This window comes from Homo sapiens, chromosome 6, assembly GCF_000001405.40.
Source record: "Homo sapiens chromosome 6, GRCh38.p14 Primary Assembly".
Classification (NCBI taxonomy): Eukaryota; Metazoa; Chordata; class Mammalia; order Primates; family Hominidae; genus Homo; species Homo sapiens.
This window is the reverse complement of record NC_000006.12, coordinates 122,275,994-122,285,499: the sequence shown is the minus strand read 5'-3', so window position 1 is coordinate 122,285,499 and position 9,506 is coordinate 122,275,994. Positions and strand designations below refer to the sequence as shown.

The following is a 9,506-nucleotide window of genomic DNA, read 5'->3' as shown; positions in this document are numbered from 1 at the left end:
GTTTCATGAAAATTAGAAGTCCCTAAGGTTGAGAGCAGTGAATAAGAAGTCCAGAACTCTGAGTTCTAATCGGAGCTTGCCATTTGGGTCACCAAGATTAAATTGACACAGACTGCCAAATTAAAACACATTTTCTTCATGACTTTGAAGTTGTTTCAAACAGCTTTCTATTTTTTGGTAGAGGAGCAAAAATCAAAACCAGCACATAAGTTATCTATAAGGCCAGATATTGTCATGGCCTAGATAACTCACGGAATGTAAATTAAGCACCTTGAAAAAAATTAGTGAATAATTTACTGACTTTTATCATTGTCTTCTTGACTGTGTTGAAACTGGTTTTATTTTTAAAAAATTGCTGCTAGAACTATCATTCCCATCCATGTAGGCGAGTGACTTTTGATAGTTTTTGGTTTCCAAGAGGACAGTATAACACTGTGAACATTTGTTTGGGCTTTACAGTTGATAGTCCTGACCATGAGCAGTGTGAATTTGGGCAAGCTGCACACTTTTTTTTTGCTTGATTGTAAAATGAGGATAATAACAGTACTTAGCTCATGCAACTGTGAGGATTTGAGTTGCTAATTCAGATAAGACTCTTGACACTATTCTGTTGTGCAGGCTGCACTCCATGAATGTTATTTCTTGTATTCCTGCTCTTCCTCTTGCTTCCACTCATTCTCTTCCACCCAACCTGTCTTTGAGTCCCACAGCCTAAGGAGAAGCTTTGACTCCAGATAATAAATACTAATATGGACATATCTGCCTATATTTTTATATACGTTTCAGGTAGTTCATAGAAACCTTGAAAATTATATGGTTAAGAACCACTTTAAGTTAAGTGGGGTTAATTAGGAAGCACCATTCTAGAAGCACTGTGAACACAAGCAAAGGTATAATTTCTACATAGCACTTCAGAAGTTGCTTCTATCCAACCCAACCTCACCAGCCATTCTAGCTCTGATGCTTGCTTGGCAAGGGATGTGGTTGTCCATGCTTGCTCTCATCCGTTCCTCCCACTGTGTGTACCAGTTTCAGGCACCAATCCAGTGTCTCAGTCTCTGAAAAAAAAAAAAAAAACCTCTCTTTTTCTATAGGTTTGTTGCTAGGTTCTGCTCCATTCCATGTGGTTACCTCATCATTTGGCCACAGAGCTTCCTAATTATTTCCATTTACATTTATGTATTTGTTATTCACATTTCCATTAAGTGGCTTCTTCTGTCTGCAGTGACTTGTTCTAAACTGCCACAGTCATTTGCTTGAATCTGCTACTTTTGTCATTGTTCCTAGTCTTGCTTGTGTGTCTCTAGCATTTATCTTTACTAATTGGCAAACTTTTTACAGCTAACTGAAGAGAGCTCTTGGAAACTACAGAAGTGCAAGATTTTCTAACAAAATATAAAAATAAGTGTTAATGACGTCACATAAATACCAAGTGAAGACACCAAAACAGAGATATCCTCATATCAACGTTATGGCTATGGGCGTAGACTTTATTTTAATAATCAGGAGGGAAAGGGTTGGGAGTAAGTGGCTTACACCTGTAATCCCAATGCTTTGGGAGGCTAAAGATCACGGATCACTTGAGGAAAGGAGTTTGAGATCAGCCTGGGCAACAAAAAACTATTTTAAAATTAGCCAGGCATGGTGGCTCTGAGGTGCTTGAGCCTAGGAGTTTGATGCTGTGGTGAGCTATGATCACACCACTGCACTGCCCTCCAGCCTGAGCAACAGAGTAAGATCTCATCTCTAAAATAAATAAATAAATGACAAAAACTTTAATAATAATAATGAGGTAGAGCAGATTCTACAAAGTGCATTTTTTTTTTAGAATAGCAGAATATAATTTCAAATACTTACTTGGTAATAATATAAATGTTACTACAAATCTGATCAAGTGGATGGAATTTCCAAAGATCAGGACAGAACATTACTTTGAGCATTCATGAAGAATACTCACTCATTCAACCTTTCACTTATTAACTAAATATTTGTTGACTACTCCCTAAAAAACCAGTGGTAAAGCAAACATTCATCCTTTTCTAAGAGACACACAATAGTCAAACTATTGATTCATAATGTCGATGATACAATAGACAAATTTATACTTTATATATTCAAGGTCATTTTATTTTCATTAAAGATACAATGAGATTGTAATTAGCTACATTATTCTGCTTATTTATCTATAATTTTTTTTTATTTTTAAAGTTTTTGGTAAACTTTTTACTTTGGAATAACTTTCATTTACAAAAAAGTTGCAAAGATAATACAGAGAGTCCCCATATATTCATTATCCAGTTTCTATTATGGTTACTTTTTTATACAACCATGGTAAATTTGTCACAACTAACAAACCAACATTGGTACATTACTAAACTCTGTGAATTAAAGTTTGGATTTTATTCAGATTTAACTAGTTTTCCCAACACAGGTCTTTTTTCTATTCCAAGTTTCAGTCTCATGCTATAAATTGTGCTTAGTTATGTCTTCTTAGTCTCCTATGGTCTGTGAAATCTTTATTTTTCGTGATCTTTACAGTTTTAATGGATATTGGTCAGGGATTTTGTAGAATGCTCCTCAATTTGGGTTTGCCTATTGTTTTGTCATGAATATACTGGGGTTATGAGTTTTGCCTCTGAGAATACCACAGAGGCAAATACCAACCTTATCACATTATATGAAGTGGTACATGTTATTAACATGACATCATTATTGTTAAATAGGAAAAGCAGGAACAATCAACGAATAGCGGTCTGGTTGTTTTAAGATTACTTTTCATATAAGCGTGTAAATAAAATCTTGTTGGCTTGATGGCATTTGGCTACCATCTTGCTCCATAGTCTCAGAATGTCAAATGTCTCCTGATTTTGCAGGTCAGCTATCTCAATTAAACAATTCAGATTTTGGTTTGATGACATGAAGCCTTAGCATGAGTGACTATGTTGGGCTTGCTGTTTTTTTCCTTAACATTATTGATACTGAAACTCATCACACGGCTGAGGTCATGTTTTTCAGGTTTCTCCATGGAAAAATTACTTACTCTTCTTTTCATATTCAATTTTTTAAAAACAAGTTGGTAAGTCCAGCTTACCCTTCAAGGAACAGGGGATGTAATATTGTTTTAAGATTATTTGTTCAGATAATCAGCAGAACCTTATCCCAAGGCATAAGGTAAAGTGCCTTTAGTTTCTTAGAGAAAAGGTCTAAATACCAAAAATAAGCCGGGCATGGTGGCGGGCGCCTGTAGTCCCAGCTACTTGGGAGACTGAGGCAGGAAAATGGTGTGAACCCAGGAGGCGGAGCTTGCAGTGAGCCGAGATTGCGCCACTGCACTCCAGCCTGGGTGACACAGCAGACTCATCTCAAAAAAAAAGGTATAAATATAGCTCAGCATTACTGTGGATCTCCTGCTCTTCACTGAATCACTCTTCCATGTTGGAGTATGACATTCGGAGCAGAAATAAGCATATTATTTTCTTGTCCATCACTTAAAATGAATGGGCACCAAAGTAATATAGGCCAATTTTATACTGACATAAAATGACTTTATACAAATCCTTATGGGGACACTGAGCTAGATCTCAAGATTGTTAGTCAATATATCCCACCATCATACTGGCCATATCCAGACTTGTAGTACTGTGTCCGGAACTGGTGGGTTCTAGTCTCACTGACTTCAAGAATGAAGCCGCGGACCCTCGCCGTGAGTGTTACAGCTCTTAAGGTGGCGCGTCTGGAGTTTGTTCGTTCCTCCCAGTGGGCTTGTGGTCTCGCTGGCTTCAGGAGTGAAGCTGCAGACCTTCGCAGTGAGTGTTACAGCTCATAAAGGCAGTGTGGACCCAAAGAGTGAGCGGTAGCAAGATTTATTGCAAAGAGTGAAAGAATAAAGCTTCCACAATGTGGAAAGGGACCCGAGCAGGTTGCCACTGCTGGCTCAGGCAGGCTGTTTTTATTCTCTTATCTGGCCCCACCCACATTTTGCTGATTGGTAGAGCCTAGTGGTCTGTTTTGACAGGGCGCTGATTGGTGCGTTTACAATCCCTGAGCTAGACACAAAGGTTATCCATGTCCCCACCAGATTAGCTAGATACAGAGTGTCCACACAAAGGTTCTCCAAGGCCCCATCAGAGTAGCTAGATACAGAGTGTCGATTGGTGCATTCACAAACCCTGAGCTAGACACAGGGTGCTGACTGGTGTGTTTACAAACCTTGAGTTAGATACAGAGTGCGGATTGCTGTATTTACAATTCCTGAGCTAGACATAAAGGTTCTCCAAGGCCCCACCAGAGTAGCTAGATACAGAGTGTCGATTGGTGCAGTCACAAACCCTGAGCTAGACACAGGGTGCTGATTGGTGTTTACAAACCTTGAGCTAGAGACAGAGTGCCGACTGGTGTATTTACAATCCCTTAGCTAGACATAAAAGTTCTCTACGTCCCCACCAGACTCAGGAGCCCAGCTGGCTTCACTCACCCAGTGGATCCCGCACCTGGGCTACAGGTGGAGCTGCCTGCCAGTCCCGTGCCGCGCGCCCGCACTCCTCAGCCTTTGGGTGGTCGATGGGACTGGGCGCCGTGGAGCAGGGGGCGGTGCTCGTCGGGGAGGCTCGGGCCGCACAGGAGCCCACAGAGCGCGGGGAGGCTCAGGCATGGCAGGCTGCAGGTCCCGAGCCCTGCCCCGCGGGGAGGCAGCTAAGGCCCGGCGAGAAATCGAGCGCAGTGCCAGCGGGCTGGCACTGCTGGGGGACCGAGTACACCCTCCGCAGCCTTTGGCCCGGGTGCTAAGCCCCTCATTGCCCAGGACTGGCAGGGCTGGCCAGCTGCTCCGAGTGCAGGGCCCGCCAAGCCCACGCCCACCCGGAACTCCAGCTGGCCCGCAAGCGCCGCGCGCAGCCCCGGTTTCCGCTGGCGCCTCTCCCTCCACACCTCCCTGCAAGCTGAGGGAGCGGGCTCCGGCATTGGCCAGCCCAGAAAGGGGCTCCCAGAGTGCAGCGGTGGGCTGAAGGGCTCCTCAAGTGCCGCCAAAGTGGGAGCCCAGATAGAGGAGGCGCCGAGAGCGAGGAGGGCTGTGAGGACTGCCAGCACGCTGTCACCTCTCAGTACTATTTTATGGTCTGTTTACAGTAATCTTGAAAGAGATAGAAAAGGTTCGTCCAAAGGATATAATCTTTGACCTAGGCCTAACAGCTATTTTTTTCTTCACTGTTATTTATTGAGCACTATTATGTGCTAGACCTTCCCGGTATTTTTTTAAACTCTGTCTTGCTGACGTAATAGCTTTATAAAATAGTTGTTAGTAGACTAGTTTTACAAGGAAACTGAAACTTAAAGAGGTCGATTAACTTGACGATACCAGTAGGCTGTATACAGGGCTTAAGATAAGTTTTCTATATTCCAAAGTGTACACTTTTCTACATATATATGTAAAATGTGTAATTAAAAAATTAGTTATAATAGCAAAAAGTCTGTGAGTATGGGTTCTTGATAGTTATTTTAGTAACATCATTAAGATTGCTCTATAATAATTAAGATTAATCGCCATTGTATTTGGATAAAGTCATTTGGTGATCATGATATTCCCAGATCCAAGTAAATTCTGAATATTAGTATATTGCCCAAATCCTTCAGGTAGATAAAAAATTATTACATTAAGAAGCATTCAGCTGAAGTTGGTGCTGGAAGCAATCTTATGTCATTTTCCTCAGAGTGCACATTTTCTGCTAAATTTGTTTTTGTAAACAAAACAGATGTTTTGATGTTTTTGTAAACAGTCAAGGTACAGGGAAAAATCAAATCAAAGAGCCTGTCTTGAATATTGTTTGATGAAAGTTAATCTTTTAGGCATTCAGTTCCTGATTCTCAAAAATACTTAAAATATTATTAAAAATCATTGAGTATGGAAAAACCCATAAATTCCTGTGAAGCCTTGTAAAGTTATGTTCGTGGTAGCTGAAAAAAGGGGTGAGTTATGCCCAAATATGCAGGTGAAAAGTCCATCCCCTATAGTCATTTGGATAACCCTCTCTAACTGAACATAAACCAGAATAATTGTTCACTTCTCTATACCTATACTTCTTTTAGAAATGGCTTTAAGTAGTCTCACATTATTTAAATTAATCGTGAAGTCACAATAAAGTCTGCTATTGAGAAGACAAGTGATGGTCCAGATTTTTAGTGTCTTTTCCTAACTGCTCGTCTGGAATTTTATACAGAGAGGGTGCCAGGCAAAATTTGAAGTAGGTGACATTTTTTTCCATCTTTCTCTTTACCATCTTTGTTACAGTTTTTCCTTCACTCAAAGCACTTTCTATTATTACTTAGATTCTCTTGCCAAATGGAAAAGATCTAGTCTTTAACACCTTGTTATAAGTTAGTTAACTCCATAACTTTCCCTAAAGAGTCTGTATTTTTTTTTTTTTTTTGAGACAGGACCTTGCTCTATTGCCCTGGCTGGAGTGCAGTGGCAGGAACATGGCTCACTGCAGCATCGACCTCCTGGGCTCGAGTGATCCTCCCATCTAAGCCACCTGATTATCTGGGACTATAGGTATGTGCCACCACGCCTGGCTAATTTTTGTATTTTTTGAAGAGATGGAATCTCGCCATGTTGCTCAGGCTGGTCTTAAATTCCTGGCCTCAAGTGATCCACCTGCCTTGGGCTTTCCAAGAGCTGGGATTACAGGCATGAGCTGCTGCACCTGACCTAACAGTCTGTATTTTAAGAGAGAAACCCTTAGTAGGAACCTGATTTAATGATATATTTTCATGCACAGTAGTATTTGAATAGAAAAAATATTTTGTCCAGCTGAAATGTTAAAATATTCAAAATCTATCCATTTGTAAAGTCTATCTGTGATTTATTTAAAAAATTATCTACTTTAGCTACAAAAAAGAATGATGAGCCTACTACGAGCCTGGCACTGTTGTGGACACTGGGGATATCACAGTGGTCAAATTCAAACAAAGATTTCTGCTTTCATGGAGTTGATATTGGAGAGGGAGGATACAACAATAAGAAAATAAGGCTGGGCATGGTGGTTCATGTCTGTAATCCCAGAGCTTTATGATGCTAAGGCAGAAGGAACACTTGAGGCTAGAAGTTCAATTTCAGCCTTGCTGGTCAAGATATAATAAGACATCATATAACAAAAACATTTTTTTTAATTATCCAGGGATGGTAGTACATGCCTGTAGTTCTCACTACTGGGGAGGCTGATGTAGGAGCATTGCCTGAGCCCAGGAGTATGAGGTTACAGCGAGCTATGATTGTGCCACCACTGCACTCCAGACTGAACGACAGAAGGAGACCCTGTCTCTTAAAAAATAAGCAAGAAAAAGAAAACACACACATATATATGTTAAATGATAATAAGTAAAAAAAATAAAAAAAGGAAAATAAATGGTGTGTGTATAAAGCGATGGGATTGGCAGGAGAAACTGCCAATGATGAAAACATAAATATTTTATATGTGGTAATATAAGAAAGCAAGAAAAAAAAGTGGTCTACCTTAGAGATATTTTTAATAGGTTGAGGGGAAAAGCAATAGGTTAATCCATAACGTGCTTCATTTTATATCTCATTTACGTTTTCTATATTTTTACAATAGGACCTTTACATGCTAGGCAATACACAAGCACATTCAATATGTTCTATTAGTTAATTCTTCAATAACCCTGAAACATTGGTAGGATTAGCTTACCTCTATTTTACAAGTAAGAAAACTGAGGCTCAAATACTTTAGGTAGCCTATTTAAGATCACACAGTTAATAGCAAAGACAGAATTAGGACTCAGGATTGTATGACTCCATAATGCCTGCCTGCTTTTTCATCTCTGTTACATTGCAGTCTGTCAGCTCTTACCTTTATTCCTGTCTCCACATCCCTAGAGACTTGTAGTCCAATCATGTGATGGCTTCATTCTGAAGGATTAGGCTCATTTCTGCTCTTGAACTAATAAATAAAGTAGGTTGAATCTACTACTTTATAAAAGTAGGTTGAATCTACTACTTTATAAAAGTAGGTTGAGAATTACTCCAAAGAAATAAGATCAGTCAGAAACAGTAACACATATATCTTTAACATGTAGCTATTTTATAATAATTATATACATGTACATTCACACATAGACACACAGATTTACTTTTTCCCTCTATTTTCCCTAAGCAATAAGCATGGAGCACCCATCGTATGAGTGAAGGTATATTAGTATATAGATAAATATTCACATGTATTTAGATGCATTTCTTTTTCTAAGAAGAGCACATAATTGTGTTCAAAATGTTCAATTGTGCATTCCACTTGTACTTAAAATGGACATTGACATCTGCAAATTCAATAGAAATTAGAGTCTATTTCTGAAGATAGTGACAAATGGGTGGACACTCATTTTAGAATTTGGCAAATTTTTCTTGGAAACTTCTGCTATCAAAGCAGAAATCAAAGAGTCCTATCATCTTCATTAATCCACTCAACAAATATTTATTGGGATTCCTTTATGTGCTAAGCACTGGATATACATGCTGCCAAACATAGTACAGACACAGTCTCTGATGTCACAGAACTTGTGGTGTAGCAGGAAACATAGAAAATTAATCATTTCAGTTCTTAAGAGTATCATGAACGGTGAAGTGCAGGTTGCAGTGAGAATGAATCACAAGGCTATGACATGGACCAGTGGTCATGGAAAAACTCCCTGTGGAAGTAGAGTTAAAACTGAGACTGGAGGATGAGTGAGTCAATAAAGTGTCCAATGGAAGGTGGGGTAGGTGGGATAACTGAAAATAGGTTGAGATTAGTATTTCAACATTCTATAGGCAACAGAGTACATGGTGAGTGTGGAGAGTAGACAGATTAGAAACTGATCCTCTTATGTTTTATAGTCCATGTTAAAGTTTTTTTTTTTTTTAACCTTATCCTAAGGAAAATAGGAAGTTAAGGAAATGTATTATGGGTAGAAGACGTGACATCTTTACTAGGTTTTTAAAACCTTCAATTGCAGAGGGAAAAGTGGATAAAATTAGAAGAGAGAGAATCAGTTAGGATGACATTCCAGGGATATGGGTGAGAGAACCTGCTGGCTTGGAGTAGGATTGTGTCAGTGCTGATGGAGAGAAATAGAGGGATAAGAGAAACAGGAGGCAGAATTGACACAACTTGGTGGTAGTTTTGACATCTATTATACTCAAAATCAGCCTCTTTGGCCATGGTCTGGGAAAGAGCTTAAAAATCAAGGGCATTGCTGGATATCAAAGACAAAGATGTTTCTTAGGGAGCAGGTCTCTGAGCCCCTTAGGGCAAGTAGGCAAGTAATTCAACAGCTTTTCTCACAACTATACTTATTTAAGGTGACTCCAAATGAGCCTAATCAACCTTATAGACATTATTGAATTAACAGAAGGACATGATTTTGAACGAGATAGAGTGGCCAATATGACGATTTGATGCCTGCTAAAAACTACATTTTCTCAACTTTTGGAAAGAGATGCTAGCCTCTGGACCAGCTTG

At 39.5% G+C, this 9,506-nt stretch overlaps 1 annotated feature.

Moving 5' to 3' along the window:
- Positions 4,863-5,157: a silencer, noted in NCBI's record as "tiled region #11815; HepG2 Repressive non-DNase unmatched - State 24:Quies, and K562 Repressive DNase matched - State 1:Tss". NCBI's record gives its function as "represses a minimal TATA promoter and a strong SV40 promoter by Sharpr-MPRA in HepG2 and K562 cells {active_cell/tissue: HepG2 | K562}" and the evidence as "EXISTENCE:reporter gene assay evidence [ECO:0000049][PMID:27701403]".